The sequence below is a fragment of the Homo sapiens genome, chromosome X, assembly GCF_000001405.40.
Source record: "Homo sapiens chromosome X, GRCh38.p14 Primary Assembly".
NCBI lineage: Eukaryota > Metazoa > Chordata > Mammalia > Primates > Hominidae > Homo > Homo sapiens.
In genome coordinates this window covers 45,021,530-45,041,388 of record NC_000023.11, presented here as the reverse complement: position 1 = coordinate 45,041,388, position 19,859 = coordinate 45,021,530, and the positions used below count along the sequence as shown (strand labels likewise).

The following is a 19,859-nucleotide window of genomic DNA, read 5'->3' as shown; positions in this document are numbered from 1 at the left end:
CTCCTCTGCCCGGCCGCCCCTACTGGGAAGTGAGGAGCCCCTCTGCCCGGCCAGTCGCCCCGTCCAGGAGGGAGGTGGGGGGGTCAGCCCCCCGCCCGGCCAGCTGCCCAGTCCGGGAGGTGAGGGGCGCCTCTGCCCGGCCGCCCCTACTGGGAAGTGAGGAGCCCCTCTGCCCGGCCAGCCGCCCCGTCCGGGAGGGGGGAGGGGGGGGTCAGCCCCCTGCCCGGCCAGCCGCCCCGTCCGGGAGGGAGGTGGTGGGGGTCAGCCCCCCGCCCGGCCAGCCACCCCGTCCGGGAGGTGAGGGGTGCCTCTGCCCGGCCGCCCCTACTGGGAAGTGAGGAGCCCCTCTGCCCGGCCAGCCGCCCCGTCCGGGAGGGAGGTGGGGGGGTCAGCCCCCCGCCCGGCCGGCCGCCCCGTCCGGGAGGTGAGGGGCGCCTCTGCCCGGCCGCCCCTACTGGGAAGTGAGGACCCCTCTGCCCGGCCAGCCGCCCCGTCCGGGAGGGAGGTGGGGGGGTCAGCCCCCCGCCCGGCCAGCCGCCCAGTCCGGGAGGGAGGTGGGGGGATCAGCCCCCCGCCCGGCCAGCCGCCCCGTCCGGGAGGGAGGTTGGGGGGGTCAGCCCCCCGCCCGGCCAGCCGCCCCATCCAGGAGGGAGGTGGGGGGGTCAGCCCCCCGCCCGTCCAGCCGCCCCGTCCGGGAGGGAGGTGGGGGGGGTCAGCCCCCCGCCCGGCCAGCCGCCCCGTCCGGGAGGGAAGTGGTGTGATCAGCCCCCCGCCTGGCCAGCCGCCCCGTCCGGGAGGTGAGGGGCGCCTCTGCCCGGCCGCCCCTACTGGGAAGTGAGGAGCCCCTCTGCCCGGCCAGCCGCCCCGTCCGGGAGGGAGGTGGGGGGGTCAGCCCCCCGCCTGGCCAGCCGCCCCATCCGGGAGGGAGGTGGGGGGGGTCAGCCCCCCGCCCGGCCAGCCGCCCCGTCTGGGAGGGAGGTGGGGGGATCAGCCCCCCGCCTGGCCAGCCGCCCTGTCCGGGAGGTGAGGGGGGCCTCTGCCCGGCCGCCCCTACTGGGAAGTGAGGACCCCTCTGCCCGGCCAGCCGCCCCGTCCGGGAGGGAGGTGGGGGGGTCAGCACCCCCACCCCCCGGGCCAGCCGCCCTATCCAGGAGGTGAGGGGCGCCTCTGCCCGGCCGCCCCTACTGGGAAGTAAGGAGCCCCTCTGCCTGGCCAGCCGCCCCGTCCGGGAGGATGGTGGGGGGGTCAGCCCCCCGCCCGGCCAGCCGCCCCATCCGGGAGGTGAGGGGCGCTTCTGCCCGGCCGCCCCTACTGGGAAGTGAGGAGCCCCTCTGCCCGGCCACGACCCCGTCTGGGAGGTGTGCCCAGCGGCTCATTGGGGATGGGCCATGATGACAATGGCGGTTTTGTGGAATAGAAAGGCGGGAAGGGTGGGGAAAAAATTGAGAAATCAGATGGTTGCCGGGTCTGTGTGGATAGAAGTAGACATGGGAGACTTTTCATTTTGTTCTGTACTAAGAAAAATTCTTCTGCCTTGGGATCCTGTTGATCTGTGACCTTATCCCCAACCCTGTGCTCTCTGAAACATGTGCTGTGTCCACTCAGGGTTAAATGGATTAAGGGCGGTGCAAGATGTGCTTTGTTAAACAGATGCTTGAAGGCAGCATGCTCCTTAAGAGTCATCACCACTCCCTAATCTTAAGTACCCAGGGACACAAACACTGCGGAAGGCCGCAGGGTCCTCTGCCTAGGAAAACCAGAGACCTTTGTTCACTTGTTTATCTGCTGACCTTCCCTCCACTATTGTCCTATGACCCTGCCAAATCCCCCTCTGCGAGAAACACCCAAGAATGATCAATAAAAAAAAAAAAAAAAAAAAAAAAAATTATCAAATGAATCAATGGGAGGAGGGCCCTGTGCCCACATTACCTTCACAGGATTAAACAGTAAGACCAACAGACAACTCCACATCAGAAACAATGAAAGCCAAAAGACAATGTATTGTGAATTTCAAAGCAGTCAGATAAACAGAATTCCATCTCCGGCAAAAATACTCATTAAAAATAAAGGTTAAAAAAACTTCTGCTTCTTTAGCTAATGACAGACCAGTGATCTCATAGAGAACTAGAAAAACTAGAGTATGGGGTAGAGGAGGGATGGGGAGGCAGAGGGGGGATGGGGAGGCAAAGTGCAGATGGGGAGGGTTGAGGTACCCAGAAATCTGATGTTAATTTTTTAAAACTCCCCATGACAGCTGATTTATAAAGCTTCCCAAATAATTCTGCCATAGAGCTGGGTTTGGGAACCACCAGCATAAATGATCTCAAACTGTCTGATTACATCCTATAACAATATAAATAACGGGATGTAGCAGGATCTTGTATCTGGTGGGTATGAACTCTGCATGGCACATATATGCCTTATTGTAACACTTGGGCCAAAACATCAAAACAGACCTTATAAATTATGTAGGCATAAAAAAAAAACCAACAGTATTTGTTTCCTAAAAAGCTGTTAAAAATTTATGTAAACTATGATGACCTAATTTTGAGTCTCATACAAATTTATTCCTGATTTTCCATACCACTGCCTAAAATGAACGTGTTATACTTTTTTTTCATTTTACTTTAAGTTCTGGGATACATGTGCAGAATGTGCAGGTTTGTTACATAGGTATACATGTGCCATGGTGGTTTGCTGCACCTATCAACCCCATCATCTAGGTTTTAAGCCCCACGTGCATTAGGTGTTTGTCCTAATGCTCTCCCTCCCCTTGCCTCCAACCACCCCCCCCCAAATGTGTTATACTTTTATCATACAACTAAGCAAAATCAAGATGTATCAATCTTGACCGTGTATTAATCAACACACACAAAACCAAGATGTTCTAAAATTTAAAAGTTTTTTAAAGTGAAGGAGCCATGAAATTAATGGCAAGGACATCAAGAGGTGACTCTTGATGCCTTTCCAATAATGACACATAGAAGAGTTATTTCAGTCTTAAGAAAAAGCAAAAGAATTCTTTAAAAAACGCATTACAACAACCATCTATAAACATTCTGAAAAGAAAGGAAGGCATCTGGCATCAAGAATAAGATAAATCTTAAATATAGCCATTTGAGCTTGCAAATGATCTACATCAAGTTCAGTTGTTTCTTTTTTTCTTGAGACAGAGTCTCACTCTGTTGCCCAGGCTAGAGTGCAGTGGCGAGATCTCAGCTCACTGCAACCTCCACCTCCCAGGTTCAAGCAATTCTTGTGCCTCAGCCTCCCGAGTAGCTGGGATTACAGGTGCTTGCCACCATGCCCAGCTAATTTTTTGTATTTTTAGTAAAGATGGGGTTTCGTCATGTTGGCCAGGCTGGTCTTGAACTCCTGGCCTCAAGTGATCTACCCGCCTTGGCCTCCCAAACCAGTGGGATTACAGGTGTGAGCTACCGCGCCCAGCCGCAAATGGATCAAGTTTAAAGGAAAATATTAAATGGAATTAATTTGTACACAGCAAGCACTCCTTGGAATAATTGTTTTACTAAGCAGCATCTTGATCACATTTAATGAGTATAAAATACAAAATTTACCTAAGAAGTAACGCCCAGAACTCCATTAAATTATCTGTACACTTCTGATTTCAGTAAAGCATGATAGGAGTAATGATTTTTGTTTGCTTTTGTTTTAAATAGAATAAGTTAAAATACTTACCTGGGTTTCATATAAGTGGGCAATGTGAAATTGAACTGCAAAGGATGAGGAAAGACAAAAAAATCAGTAACAATACAGCAGAATTTGGGGCAAATTAAGTAAGAATAACAAAGCATCAAACATTATCACAGTCTACACTATATAGATTTAAGTAATAGAAAAACATAACTTTTATTTGCTTTTACTAAAATAGAATATACAAACAAACACACTAAAGAACACAATCATGATAAGAAACCACATGTATTCATTGTTGGTCATTATCAAATGAAATTTCTGTCAATGCAATTATTAAAATTAGCATTAAATCTATAGCAAGTGAATATATGTTTTACAAAGTTCAAAATGGCAACATTAAGCAAAGAGAGAAAACCTTTATAATCTATACATTTCAAAACACAGTATTTAAAAACTGAATCCCAAGTCAAAAAAGAGTAAAATCAATATTTAATTAAAAAATATTAAAACCAAAGTACAAATCAGTGATGATGTAAAAATTCAAAGAAAAATAAGTTTTACAAAGACAATAAGGAGCCTGGTGTTGAAAAGAGTAATACTGGCTCAAAGTAGGTACTCTACATTTGTTGTGACATCAGGCATTATTATAGCTATCAAGTAATCAAGTAGACTGTCTAAAGTAAACTATCCAAATCTACTAAACTGTAATAGCCTAAAGTCTCTAAATAGAAAATATGCTCTCCCGTTTGAGTGACCAACCACCTTGTAGCACTCATGATGGTTCAAACTGTTTCAAATTCAACAGTTTTATGCCATGTGGCACTCATCCTACCTATGCAGACATTTTTCTCTCAAGAGTAATGATCTACAACTGAGATTTAAACAGAGTAGAATAAAATGAGGATTTACCAAAATATTTAGTTTGATATTTATGAGACATCCATAAAAGTTATCATTCAACTGACTTACCAAAGTTACCTTTTAGGTACTAGACCATAATGAATTAAAAGATAATCGGTTGTTTTCTTATTCTCGTAAACTAATTTGAAAAGAATTTTAAGCATCTATATATTCTAGATGGTTTATAACCTGGATATATAATTAAGAAAAAGGTATAAATTAAAACTTTATAAATTACTAAACCAATGAGTCAATTTTTTCAAATCTAACCTTATATTAGAAACTATAAAATACTGCTGCATTTGTTATTATTCTACCGTTTATTCTACAAACACCCTAATCAGTACTGGATCCTGAATTTCATTTAAGAAAGTAAAAATCCTTTAGATTTTCACAGGAAATTACCTTTAGTAAAAGTATGACATAATTCATCTGGCTTAAATGATGATTTAATCCATACTATTTCTTAATCCACGTTATACTGAAAATTCTACAGAGTTTTCGCTGATTCAACAATTTCCTAGGGCATTTCTAAAGACTAAGACTACTTTTCACTAATATCTCTCTATACTCTTTCAAGTGATTTACAGGAGGCTAAGGCAGGAAGATCGCTTGAGTGCAGGAGTTGGAGGCTGTAGCTGAGCTACTCTGACACCACTGCACTCCAGCCTAAGTGGCAGAGAAAGACCCCATCTCAAAATGAAACAAAAAACAAAAACAAAAAAGTAACTTACAGCAAAACACTGACTTTCTAAAACCCGGAATCCTTTGTATGACTGAAACTGTCATTAATTGCTCGATTTTTCTTATACCAATTAAAAATTTCATTTTTCGGACGGGCGCGGTGGCTCCCGCCTATAATCCCAGAACTTTGGGAGGCCGAGGTGGGAGGATCACGAGGTCAGGAGATCGAGACCATCCTGGCTAACACGGTGAAACCCCATGTCTACTAAAAATACAAAAAATTAGCTGGGCATGGTGGCAGGCACCTGTAGTCCCAGCTACTTGGGAGGCTGAGGCAGGAGAATGGCGTCAACCCGGTAGGCGGAGCTTGCAGTGAGCCAAAATCGCGCCACTGCACTCCAGCCTGGGCAACAGAGTGAGACTCCATCTCAAAAAAAAGAAAATAATAATAATAATAATAATTTATTTTTCAAGTAAGAAGGTTTTTAAGAAATTTAGCATCAACGAATATTCTTAAACCTTTTTACTGGATACTTTAGTGTATATTAAATAAATATACCTAAATACATATCGATAAACATATAATCAACCCAATCTGCTTTTGAAAAGACACCTACATAGAAGCAGAAAATAATTGTTTGGAAAAAAATACTTTGTTAGAACATGCTTCGTAAATGTATTCCTTTCTAATTAATTGAAAAATGTCAACTCAAGCTTTCTAAATGATATATAAAACTATCATAAAAGTCACAAATGTCTTCATAATTACCAATAATTTTTATCCCACGCAGTAGGAATCAGTAAGCTATCAGATAAGAATCTTTATATACTCATGTTTCCTAAAAGACCAGCAAAACCTGTTTTTAATCCTACCAAGTCATCTACAATATAATACACGACAGAGAAAAATCAATCTTGTTTATTAGTGAAGATACTTTTAATTCAACAACTCACTTCACTGGCCTATCTATTTTAGACACAGGCTGTTCACAATATCTGGTCTTGCAGGTTCCATTTATGTAAGTAGCCATGGCAACCAATACAGTTACATTAAACAATTCTAAAAGAAAAAATTGCACAGAATTTATCACTAACATTATTGTTATTTGCCATGAAGTGATCGGAATACATGTAGAAAACTACAGTACTTAATAATACTTACTTTCAGCATTGGACAAAGTGCAGGGATTACAGTCAACCAAAGCTAACTGAAAATGCTGCAAGACGAGAGTGAGAAAATTAATGCAGTCAATTTAGAGTCACACAAAAGCATCTTAAGATACTTTTCAGGTATGTAAGGTCTAAAATAATAATAAATACATGCTATGCAAATAAAATACACTAGCCTACCAACTAGAAATACTTTGAACATTTACTGCTGACAACTGACATGCTGTGGGGGTTATTTTCTTGAGACAGCTGAGAATGGAGAATTTGAAAAAGAATTAATTTTATCAAGTTATCCTATGTATATTTTTATTTATGTGAAAAAGGTGAAGATTTTTAAGTCAAGTAAACAGGAAGTGTTATACAACAGTTTAAATATTTAGAGAACATATCATTATTTTTGAAAATCCAAGTAGAAGTCTAATGGTATTGTCAGAACACCACTGCTTATCTCAAAATGAGACATGGACTTCTGAAACAAAAAAAATCACTATGAGTATTGTCATAGAGGGTAAAACTTTCTGTCTTTATTGATCTTTCAATAATCACTGTACTTAAGTGCCTTTTAAAATAGCCTGTGTCCAAGTTCATCTACCAAATATAACTGTCCTTTTACAATGTGACATTATATGCATAGAATTTGTATAATTTTCCAGTCAACAATAAACCACTAATACAGAATCCACTTGTAATAATATCATATAAGCACGTTAACATCAATGCATAACACTAATTTTTAGGAGCGCATATTATCATCAAGAACACTGGGTGACATTTAATATCTAGTTTATCAACATTAAACAAGGTATATAAATTAAGATAAGTAATAGAGTTGGTATAAAATCTAAGTTAAAAAAGATGAGTAAATCTCTTTAAACTCTTCTAAATAATATTCCTACAAATATATATTCAAATTTTCTGAGCCTCCACAAATTTTTAGCATTAAAAGTAATTAAAGTGGAAAGCATTAAAAAAAATGACCATAATAAATTCATTCCTATCCACAATCCAAAAATCTAAAGAGTTATTGATGTTGGCTACCCAAAAGTCACAAAGAAGGAAAATTAGAAAACATCACTTGGTATGAACACTGGCTATTATTAATGTATTCACTCAAGAATGTCTCTTGGCAAGGTGCGGTGGCTCACGACTGTAATCCCAGCACTTTGGGAGTTCTAGGTGGGTGGATCACCTGAGGTCAGGAGTTTAAGACCAGCCTGACCAATATACTGAAACCCCATCTCTACTAAAAATAAAAAATTAGCCGTTCATAGTGGTGAGAGCCTGTAGTCTCAGCTACTCCGGAGGCTGAGACGGGAGAATTCCTTGAACCCGGGAGGCAGAGATTGCAGTGAGCCAAGAGTGTGCCACTCCACTCCAACCTAGGCGACAGAGACTCCACCTCAAAAAAAATAAAATAAAATAAAAGTCTCTGATGTGCATGCATAATTAGGCTGACCAACACTTGTAATATTCTTAAACTTAAAGCTGATTACATCTTCTCAATGGGTCAAGAGTCTATAATGCCCTAAGGACAATGCAGACACTAGGGATGCAATGGTCAACAAAATAAAACTGAAAAATCATTTGCCATAGTTGACTGAATGAAAAAAATCTAACATTTGAACACTTTGAAAACTGCTTTTATTTTCCCTTGGCCTACTAAGCAGACTGTGTCTTCAAACATCCCTTTAGTGTGCTACCATAGCAATAGAGAACAGACTATTTTAAAACGTTTGAGTACTATGAAAGCAAAGCATGCTTTATAATCAATTGCTTTCCTCTAGACAAAAAGAGCACAAGAGTAGTCACACATTCAGACTGTACTATATTTCTAAGTCTAATTTGTCCTGTAAGCATAAATATTTAGATAGAAGAACACAGACCACCATTCCTAACTGAGCCATCAAAGGGTACAAACTGAAATGAGAAGAAACGGCCTTCAATATGGCAATATTTTAGTTTTACTATTTCACTGAAACCCCACAAGGAAGAATAGAGATGTAGAATTCAAACAGCCTAGCCTACATTTCATCTATCAGTAATTTAAGATTCTGCAGTGAAACCTGGCAGGAGTATTTCTTGACCATGTTTTGTGTAATTATAAAACAATCTTAAACGCAGCAATCAAGTTACTGATGCACCATTTCAAACCCACAACACTATGAAATACCAAACATTTCCAAACAGTGAAGACATAGGAAAATTACTCAGCAAAAGAATACACATTGGTTGGGTACAGTAGCTCACGCCTATAATCCCAGTACTTTGGGAGGCCGAGGCGGGCAGATCACCTAAGGTTAGGAGTTCGAGACCAGCCTGGCCAACATCATGAAACCCCATCTCTACTAAAAATACAAAAATTAGCCGGCATGGTGGCGGGTGCCTGTGGCAGAAAAAATGAGAATGCGTTTCAAAAAACAAAAACAAAAAAAACACGAATACACATTCAAAAACATCCACTATGACAATGAAAGAACTTACAGAATAATTACTAAGTGTTTATAAGAAACTAACAACACCGTTCCACATAAAGAAAAACACTGATATGCCGTTCAGCACTCTCAAGAGAGATGAAGAACCGGGGTAGGGATAACATGACCACAAAGCCTCATTTCCAGGACCTAAACCAGATGCAAAATAGATATACCTATTAACATATACACCAGTAGAAAGGACTATCAATTATGATAACCAGCCCACAAACCTGAAAATACCATGGTAAAATATCCAGCACCTTTCCCTGCAACCAACAGAGGCAGCTAGGAAACATCTGTGCCTCACACTGAAATACTGCAGTGCTGAAACTGGCTACTGCTGTGTGAAATAATTATTATGCAGAAGAGGCCTCTGCAGTTCAAAGACTATATACAAACCTGAAGGCGGAAAGCAGTCTACAGAAAATTAGTTTCCAAGCAAGAAGATTTACTTATGACTTTTTTTTTTTAATGTTATAGAGATTTTCTTTTTATGGAGCACTTCTGGCCCAATTTAACGCAAAGTTTGATTCATTACTATTTCTGTTGACATCTTTATCACCAAAGTCACCTTTTGTTTTAAAAGCCTTCAACGTGTTCAATATTTCAAAATAATGTTATAGTATTTTGCCTAATACAGCCAATGGAACTTGATTTCTATGGGGAGGGGGGAGAAATCTATATTCATGTAATTAACACATAAAACTTGAGTTTCAAGACTTTATTTCCCTTTAAATTGTTTTATTTCTAGCTGTATATAGTCTGATTACCTCATGAATCTTTTTACTTGTAGAACCCTTCAACTATATTCCCAATCCCGAAAACAAGCAATGGGATAACTTTTTGCAATTGACAAATTATGTATTTGGTTATAAGTTATTAATTTGGAGCAATGTTTAGATTCCAGTACCAATCTAGAATGTTCTGATTCAGTGGGTTGTAGGCAACAACCTGCAAACCAGAAAAAAAACTTATGCAAGCTATTCTAATATACAGAGTTAAACCACACTATTCTATTTTGAAGTTTTTAAATTATGTGCTTGCCCCAGAAACCTTTATTTCAGACTATATAAACAAGGTATGTATAGTTGATACTGCTGTCTATATCCAATTAAGGTAGAAACATGGCATTTTAGGACTGACATGCTGGCAACCAGCTTTTATCTATGCCAGGCACGCTTCTATGGCTATACATCTACAGAATACAATGTTCACTGAAATTAATGCCTTAATAGGATTTTTAAAATTTTAACCTGCTCTGAGAATACACAGGAAAGACAACTCCATAACAGAATCCAAAAAGATATAGATGAGGAAAGTAAGAAAAGAGTTACTTCAGGCTGAGGAAACCACTGAAGTTATTTTTACAGAGCCTTATAAAACAGGGTTATAATGACCATTTAAGTGAGAAAAGGAAAGGTGTGCCAGGTACTGTTGCATGTCAAAGATAAATCATTTTTTTCTTATTCATTGTTACAGACTGCCACATTTCTAAAATTATGAATTTAGGGCAGGGCATGGTGGCTCACACCTATAATCTCAGCACTTCGGGAGGCCAAGGCGGGCAGATCACTTGAGGCCAAAAGTTTGAGACAAGCCAGGCCAACATGGCAAAACCCAGTCTCCTCTAAAAATACAAAAATTAGCAGGGTATGGTGGCACATGCCTCAGGTGGCTGAGGCATGAGAATCGCTTGAACCCAGGAAGCGAAGGTTGCAGTGACCCAAGATCGCACCACTGCACTCCAGCATGGGCGACAGAGTGAGATTTTGTCTCAAAAAAATAAAATTAATATTAAAAAATAAAATAAAAGTATAAATTAAAACCAACAAACTTGATTCCTAAAATGAATAGTCTATGGGTAAGAATAGGGAAATGCCCTAGGATGCCATGGTACTTACTTTAAAAATGTGGTCTCTAAAATAAGATACAGAACTGAAAACGGCTAAGTTTTGGTAGGGCTTGTGAGCCACGTTCCTGGTCAAGATGATCTGACTGAGGTTCTCCCAAAGCCCTCAAAACTCAGTTCTGATACTCTTTGTAATACAAGGTTATTACAACTGTTTCCAGGAGGGAATCTACTGCATACCAATGACATGCTAATAGCTAACAAATCCTGACAATCTTCGCTCAAAAAAGAGGCTTCTTTTTTGAAGTTTACCAGCCGGTCTTTTCTAAAAATTTCTTTAACAAAAAAAAGGGGTGGGGGGTGGGGGACAAAACGCACTGTATACTGAAGATGTTCAAAATCTTAGTTCTAGCTCTTCTTTTTGGCTCCAGATTTATGTCTGTGTGCATGAATATCTGATATCCCTCAGGTACCTCCAAATCAATTTACTCCCAAATGACTTATCGCCATTCAGAGCCTTTTCACCTCCTAAACCCAAAACCGGCTGCTACTTTCTTTATCCCCTACTTTATTTAACATAGTAAAGTGGTCTGAGCCCGTAAATGGGAATCTCTTCCCACATCAAGTCAGTTAATAAATCTCTTTAAGATCTCTAGGATACATTCATTACCTTGCCCCCATCCATCCTATGAGCAACCATTTATCTTACAGCTCTTGCTCATCTTTCTTCCTGTAGCTGTATCCTACCTAGTCTTCCAACTCTTCATTTCTATCATACTTTACAAAAGTATAGGTATGCAACTGACTAGAAATTTTTAAAAACTGGTCCTAGTTTGCATCTAACCTATGTACACAAAATGATCAGAATATGAGCCAACTTAATTTCCAAGGTATTTCTATCTAGTGAGCAATTTGTATTCATATTTGAGACTGATATGTACACAAATAACTAATACAAGGTGAATATGATGTTTTATAAAGGGGGATACTGCAAAAATTTGCACTGTAGAATATCCTTTTAAAATATAACTTTTTTTTTTTTTTTGAGACAATCTCACTCTGTCACCCAGGCTGGAGTGCAGTGGTGCAATCTCGGCTCACTGCAACCTCCACCTCCCCAGTTCAAGCGATTCTTGGGCCTCCGCCTCTGGAGTAGCTGGGATTACTGGCACACACCAGCACCCTCGACTAAATTTTGTATGTATGTATGTATTTATTTATTAGATGGGGTTTCGCTCTTGTTGCCCAGGCTGAGGGCAATGGCTTGATCTCTGCTCACTTCAACCTCCGCCTCCCAGGTCAAGCGATTCTCCTGCCTCAGCCTCCCGAGTAGCTGGGATTACAGACACCTGCCACCATGCCGGCTTATTTTTTGTATTTTTAGTAGGGATAGGGTTTCATCATGTTGGCCAAGCAACTCTCAAACTCCTGACCTCAGGCAATCCACCCGCCTCAGCCTCCCAAAGTGCTGGGATTACAGGTGTGAGCCACTGCGCCCAGCCACACAACCTTTTTCTAAATGTGACAATACAGTGACTGCTTTATAAAGCTGCCTTTGAAGACCAAATATCTATAACGCCCTTAAGTTGTTGTAAGTTAGCACCAGAAATCACTTTAGAAATGACTTCTGTAGTTAAAATATACTAGAAGAGAGAAACTGTAACACAGGGAACCTAGAATCACCCTAACTCCTCAGTTTCAAAGAGAAAGAATGGTGTTACTGCACATATATGAGCAGCCATGTACTTTTCAAACATGCATTTTGCAGGTATTGAAGTATTTCGGCCACTTTTACTAATTCACACTTGAAGGCACGTTATAGAACTCAGGGCAGAAATAATATCAAACAGAAAACCAAAGTTGGGCAGGCAGAGTGAAATAGAGAAAGCATTATTAAGTGGCCAGATAAATTAATTAGGAGGTTGCCTCGTATCAGAAACTATTATCTAGGAAATTGGTAAAGTACAAGCTGACGAGTAGTACAAAGAGAAAAGAACAGAGAAAGGATGATTATTTTCTACAAGTGAGAAAAAGTAGAAAACAAAATAAACAGCAATGACCATCCTCTGCCAAAAGGAACAGTGATGTTACACTCAGGTGAAACTGAGTTCTACTGTCAATGACTGAAAGGAAAAGGAAGATTTAAATCAAAGAAAATAAACTGGGTTGCAGTTTCCTCAATCATAATCCAATCTACTGCTAACCATAAAAAGCCAAGCAAAATCTGACTATATGAATTTTATGTATAAAGAACCAACAGTTATACCAAAGGAAGAAATACACAGTGTAACTAATACTAAAAAAGAATGTTCTTCTTTTCTTAAGATGACCAGAATAGTGTGCTAATATTTTTTGGTATCTGCCTGGTGGTTTATCCAAAAATAGTATGTATTAAGAACTGCCTCAGTGAAGCATTTTAAATGTTAAACATGGTAGCAATGAAAAATGATGTTAATTTGTGGTTCTGGCCCCAAACTTAGTTTGCTGTTGCTGTGTGGTGTTGCTGTTACTCCAGGAGGAAATCCATTAAATAAAAAGTACAGGCCGGGCGTGGTGGCTCACGCCTGTAATCCCAGCACTTTGAGGGACCAACCAGCACTTTGGGAGGCCAAGGCAGGCGGATCGCCTAAGATCAGGAGTTTGAGAGCAGCCTGACCATACGATGAAACCCCATCTCTACTAAAAATACAAAAATTAGCCGGGCGTGGTGGCATGCACCTGTAATCCCAGCTACTCGGGAGGCTGAGACAGGAGAATCACCTGAACCTGGCAGGCAGAGGTTGCAGTGAGCCGAGATCGCGCCATTGCACTCTAGCCTGGGCAACAAGAGTGAAACTCCGTCTCAAAAAAAAAAAAAAGTACCAAAAAACAACGATTAGGCCTCACCATTTTTACATCCCAACCAATTCCTATGAAGATTCTACAAATGCAGCTTCCATGATATGCCAATACTCTGTAGATCCTTTCTTGAAGAATTTCTTTCCCTTCCCGGTCCCATGTTCTAAGCCAAATCTCAGGATAAACACCAAATCTTATAGTTTTATAACTACCACCAATTATTCCAAGCTGTTGGGGGTGGCAAGGGGATAGGACTTTTCTAATCCCCTAAGAAAATTGAGTCATATGAGTGAGATGCCTTCCTCCATTCTTTCTCTCAAATCAAACCACTCAAGATTAAAATTTTCAAAATGCCAGCTGAAAGAGGTGAGAGCTATTGAGCATCATAAAGGAAATAGGGCAGAGCAAGTATGGAGAAATAATAACTTTTTCTTTAAGAGACGGGCGGGTGTGTGTGTGTGTGTGTGTGTGTGTGTGTGTTTCACACTATGTTGCGTGTGTGTGTGTGTATGTGTGTCTCACTATGTTGCCCAGGTTGCTCTCAAACTTCTAACTTCAGGTGATCCACCTGCCTCAGCTTCCCAAAGTGCTGGGATTACAGGCATAAGCTACTGAGCCCAGCCCTAAACTTTCATTATCTTCAGACTACTGAACTAACAAACGTGTGTGTGTGTGTGTCTCTCTCTCACTATGTTGCCCAAGATGCTCTCAAACTTCTGACCTCAGGTGATCCACCCGCCTCAGCCTCCGAAAGTGCTGGGTGCTGGGTTTACAGGCATGAGCCATGGTGCCCAGCCCTAAACTTTCATTATCTTCAGACTACTGAACTAACAAAAATATACTATTAAAATGTCAATAAAGAAACATTACAAATATTCTAGAAACATAAGGCATGGATAAAATTAATTTAATAGCTAGCATTCAAACTCAGCAAGTTATTTCTAAAATACAGAAAGTTCACAGTATCTTTTTTTTTTTTTTTTTTGAGATGGAGTTTCGCTATTGTTGCCCAGGCTGGAGTGCAATGGTGCGATCTCAGCTCACTGCAATCTCCACCTCCCAGGTTCAAGCAGTTCTCCTGTCTCAGCCTCCGGAGTAGCTGGGACTACAGGCGCGCCACCATGCCCAGCTAAATTTTTTTTTTTTTTTTTTAGTAGAGACGGGATTTCTCCATATTGGCCAGGCTGTTCACGAACTCCTGACCTCAGGGGACCCACCCGCTTGGCCTCCCAAAGTGCTGGGATTACAGGCGTGAGCCACTGCGCCCGGCCCACAATATTTTAATTATATGAAACAAATGATCTGTGCATTCTACATGAATAAAATAATAAAAGACAGGAGGCATTTCAGATTTCAAAAGCGGTTTCTAAAAGGAGGTACACATACATGATCATGTCTTCATGTATTCCTTCTGCCTAAATATCTTGGCATCAAAAATATTACAATAAAATTCCTGAGTTTATACAGGGTAGAAGATCAAATGAGACACCTCGTAATGAAGTAGTTCCTAAAGAAGAGTATGGTACAAAGACAGTGGAGCTGCCACTTCACTCAGAAGTTTCATGTCGAGTATAATAAGATGGCAAGCATACTGCATGAATTGGTGAACTGAGCCATCTGGAAAAAACAACTGCAGTGTCAGTTTGTATAGAAAAAAATTCTGTTAAGTGATGATGAATAAAACCAGCTTTTTTTCTTTTCTTCAAATTTTCCAGCCTGTTCTATAAGTAGGCATTTTCTCATTTTATAGCCTCTTCCATTTTATTTATCTACCCATTCAAGAAACACCAACACCCAGTAAAATGGCAAGCTAACACACAAGTCTCATTTGAGTTCAATCCATTTCCTTTGAAACATTTACTGTCTCCATAATTCTCATCTTCCTATCCCTTTCACATTAACCCCTTCAATCAGCACTTATCATATTCAAATACCAAATTATAAAAGGGGACTTAAATTGGCATCTCAGCCAATGATCTACAGGTTTCCATAAAAAAGGCACCCTTTTTGGTTACCTAACTTTAAAATCCCAAAAGAGTTCTAAGTTGACATAGTTTAGGAATATTTAAATATGTAAACATTAGGGAAAATTCCTATATAAGCTTCCTCTAAATAGATGCACAGGCATTAACTGACTGAAGAATAAGGGTGTCATTGTATCTTATTCTTCACATGAAGGAAATAATTTTAATAGTCTGCCAGGATGTGAAAATTAGGGACATTATATAAAACTATCTGTCAACAGTAATATCCTTTTATTAAAGTAATGGTAGCACACTGCTTCAAATATATACTGAAAATAAGTAACTGTCATTAATATCATTAAAGGATAATGAAATAAAAGTCCTGAATTAGGCTGGGCATGGTGGCTTGCACCTGTAATTCCAGCACTTTGGGAGGCTGAGGCAGGTGGATCACCTGAGGTCAGAAGTTCGAGACCAGCCTGACCAATATGGTGAAACCCCGTCTCTACTAAAAATACAAAAATTAGCCAGGTGTGGTGGCACATGCCGGTAGTCCCAGCTACTCGGGAGGCTGAGACAGGAGAATTGTTCGAAACTGGGAGGCGGAGGTTGCAGTGAGCCGAGTTCACACCACAGTATTCCAGCCTGGGCAACAGAGTGAGACTCCGTCTCAAAAAAAAAAAAATCCTGAATTAACTGTATGGCATTAACTAGGCAACCAAACCCACCTTAGGGGATATTAGCTGAAGCAGAGAAGAAAAACAACAAAATACCTGTCACCCTGAAATGGACTCTGGTTCAGATAATATTAAACTAGTTCACGAATTAAGAATTGGTATCTCCACTGCTCACTAAACACATACAATCTTTATTGGTCAATTTAATGTAAAAATAACACCATAGGATCATAAAGTTTGCTGAGCATTAGCTTCACATTTCTGAGGATGGGCAGAGGGACAAAAATACAAGGATTAAGTTCTAAGACAGGAACATTTATTTCTCCAACAGTATCTATGCTGGCCCCCAATTATGGTTGTTTTACATGATAGATAACTGAGACTAAAGAAGGGCTGAAACTATTTATTTGTAAGATATAAATTCTAGAAGATAACATCAGAAAAACTCTTCTAGACATTAGGCAAAGAGTTCATGACCAAGAATCCAAAAGCAAATGCAACAAAAACAAAGATAAGTAGATGGGACCTAATTAAACCAAAGAGCTTCTGCACAGCAAAATAAATAATCAGCAGAGTAATCAGATAACCAATAGAGTGGGAGAAAATGTTCGCAAACTAGGCATCCAACAAAGGACTAATATCCAGAATCTACAAGGAACTCAAACAAATCAGCAAGAAAAAAAAACAAATAATCCCATCAAAAAGTGGGCAAAGGACATGAATTGAAAATTCTCAAAAGAAGATATACAAATGGCCAACGAACATAGGGAAAAAATGCTCAACAGCCCTAATGATCAGGGAAATGCAAATCAAATCCACAATGCGATACCACCTTACTCCTGCAAGAATGGCCATGATTTAAAAATCAAAAAATAACAGATGTTGGCATGGATGTGGTGAAAAGGGAACACTTTTACACTGCTGGTGGGAATGTAAACTAGTACAGCCACTATGGAAAACAGTGTGGCGGTTCCTTAAAGAACTAAAAGCAGAACTACCATTTGACCCAGCAATCCCACTACTGGATATCTATCCAGAGGAAAAGAAGTCATTATATAAAGAAGACACTTGCACACACATGTTTATAGCAGCACAATTTGCAATTGCAAAAATATGGAACCAGCCTGAATACCCATCAACCAATGAGTGGATAAAGAAAATGTGGTATATACATCATGGAATACTACTTAGCCAAAAAGGAAGGAAAGAATGGCATTTGCAGCAACCTGAATGGAGTTGGAGACCATTATTCTAAGTGAAGTAACTCAGGAATGGAAAACCAAACATCACATGTTCTCACTTAGAAGTGGGAGCTAAACTATGAGGATGCAAAGGTATAAGAATGAGATAATGGACTTTGGGGACTCGGGGAAGAGAGGCAAGGGGGTGCGGGATAAAAGACTACACATTGGGTACAGTATACACTGCTCAGGTGATGGGTGCACCAAAATCACAGAAATCACCACTAAAGAACTTTTCCATGCAACCAAACACCACCTGTTCCCCCAAAACTAGTGATATAAAACTACACACATATAAAAACAAACACACACATATATTCACCTTTATATCAATCATGTGGGTGGCTATAATTATTCTAGTTCTTCAGACACAGAGAAAATCAAGAGTCAGAAATCTTACTCAAGGTCACGAAGATATGCGGCAGGGTCAAAGTTTTGAAAACCAAGTTGGTTTGCTCTGAGAGCTGTTTACACAGCACCAACACAGAATTTCAGAGACACATTTTGTGAGAAAGTTATCACCAGTGACAGAAACACAACAGGAGGCCCTACAATTCATTTCATATTGGGAGGAAAAAAAAGGAATCTATTATGAAAATACGCTGTATTTTATTTAAATAGTTTACCATCCAAAAAGTATTATACACACTTGGGCAGAGGGAAAGGAAATGGGATAGAGAAGATCTGATCTGTAACGGACAGACTGTTCACACCACTCCCCATACCAAAATATCCTTTTTACCCACCCTATCCCTCCACTGGATAACAACTACTTACAGATTTGAACAATTCTCAAAGACTGGGCATAACTAGTCTAAGAGCAACCACATTTCCTTTGATAAGAAATCAATTAGGAATGGCCATGTGGCCTATTTCTGGCCAATAAGATGCAAGGTGAAGTATTTTTGAAGAGATCAACAGGCAACCAGGATCTTTCTCCTACATGAAATGATCATCATCATTTACTATGCACTTATATGCCAGCATTACACTAAGCAGAGCAACCAGCCTTTAGAAAAAGCCAATACAGAACTGAGAAGAAAATGAATCCTTGATGAAACCTTAGATCAGCTGAATCAACCAATCCTGAAGGCTAGACTTCACATAGGAGCATATTTTTTATTATTTTAACCAATTTGAGTTGGAGTCCCTGAGGTTACAGCCTAAAAAGCATCTATACCAACACACTGTGCTACAAAACAGCTTAATGTTGTGGAAAAGCCATCAGAGGTTCCACATTTATCCAGATGAAGGTGAAGTATTAGAAAAATGGAAAACCACCTAAAGGGGGATATCATTCCTTCTATTCCTACCTTCACTCATTCTGAATGCTAAGCACTTTAGTAATAAACTAAAATACCTCCTCCTCTTTGACTAAAAATGTTCATGCCCAAATTCTTCTTAAAATAGATAAGGAATACTAGAGAGAGGGCTGAAAAAGCCAAAGTCAGGATGAGATAAAAATCAAATGAAACCTTCACACTCTAGGGACGAGAAATATCATGGACTCGTTAAAGGTAAAAGTCCCCCAAAAGAAGGCTGCCCTCACTTAAGGCAATTTTGCTAAGATCACCATGACTTGACTTTTTAGACTTTCTACCTGAACAAATAAAAGTGGTATGCAGGAATGTTCCCACCAAGCTTAAGTTAAGTAGAACACTTTCAATCGGCCATGAAACACTGTTTCCCTTGATTAAAGGAGATTTTAAATATCGCCACTTTCATTTAAATGGAATTTTGCATCTTTAGAATTACTTAAGGTATCACTGTACTGATACACGCATAGTCACATTCCATAATGTGGGACACATCTGATTGCTTTTCCCTTCAAATGTATTTCCTAAGCAACATTTACCAAACTGCTACCAAAAACACTTCTGCAACATAATAAGCATGTGAAATGCTTAAATGTTTATTCTGTATTATAAGACATTTTAAAGAGTCTTTGATAGCTAATAGAAACTGCAAAAAAAATGTGAGGCAGCTTTATAAACTTATTTTCCAGTTCATATCCGCTGACGTCCCACAGTATGGTGTCAGAAATGCTACTACTCTAAGCTTGAGGAAAAGTGGTAACTTCCAGGCATCCCTCATTCTCCACACTACCTGCACCCTGCACTTACCCTGGAACTTATTCCTCGACTGCACTTACCTTCAACCACTGTGTGATCTAAATTCTTCGCAATCTACTGTTTTTAGTGTTTTTGGTTGTACCTCCCTCTCTCTTTAACATCATCAGTATTGTTCTTTTAACTCATGTAAGGTAGAAACAGTACTTGCATAGTTTTCTACTTTAAAAATCTAGAACAATTAGACACTCTTGAGTACAGTTTTTTTTATTTTTAACCTTCAGTAGTTCCTTATTAGTGAGCTCAAATTACAATCTACTTGAATGTCATTCTTTA

At 40.3% G+C, this 19,859-nt stretch overlaps 1 protein-coding gene across 25 annotated transcripts in view; it reads right to left on the bottom strand.

The window, feature by feature from the left end:
• The window catches only part of KDM6A (lysine demethylase 6A), a 239,592-nt gene that overhangs the window by 71,391 nt on the left and 148,342 nt on the right, over positions 1 to 19,859 (bottom strand). For all 25 annotated transcript variants that reach the window (NR_111960.2, XR_007068200.1, NM_001419809.1 and 22 more), the window contains 2 exons: positions 6,404 to 6,458; positions 3,700 to 3,734 (listed from right to left, as the gene is read on the bottom strand). Coding sequence is in view for 22 of the 25 variants with exons in the window: in NM_001419809.1 (NP_001406738.1) it covers positions 3,700 to 3,734; positions 6,404 to 6,458 (90 nt within the window). In the remaining 3 variants the exon portion in view is untranslated. The remainder of the gene's footprint in view (positions 1 to 3,699; positions 3,735 to 6,403; positions 6,459 to 19,859) is intronic.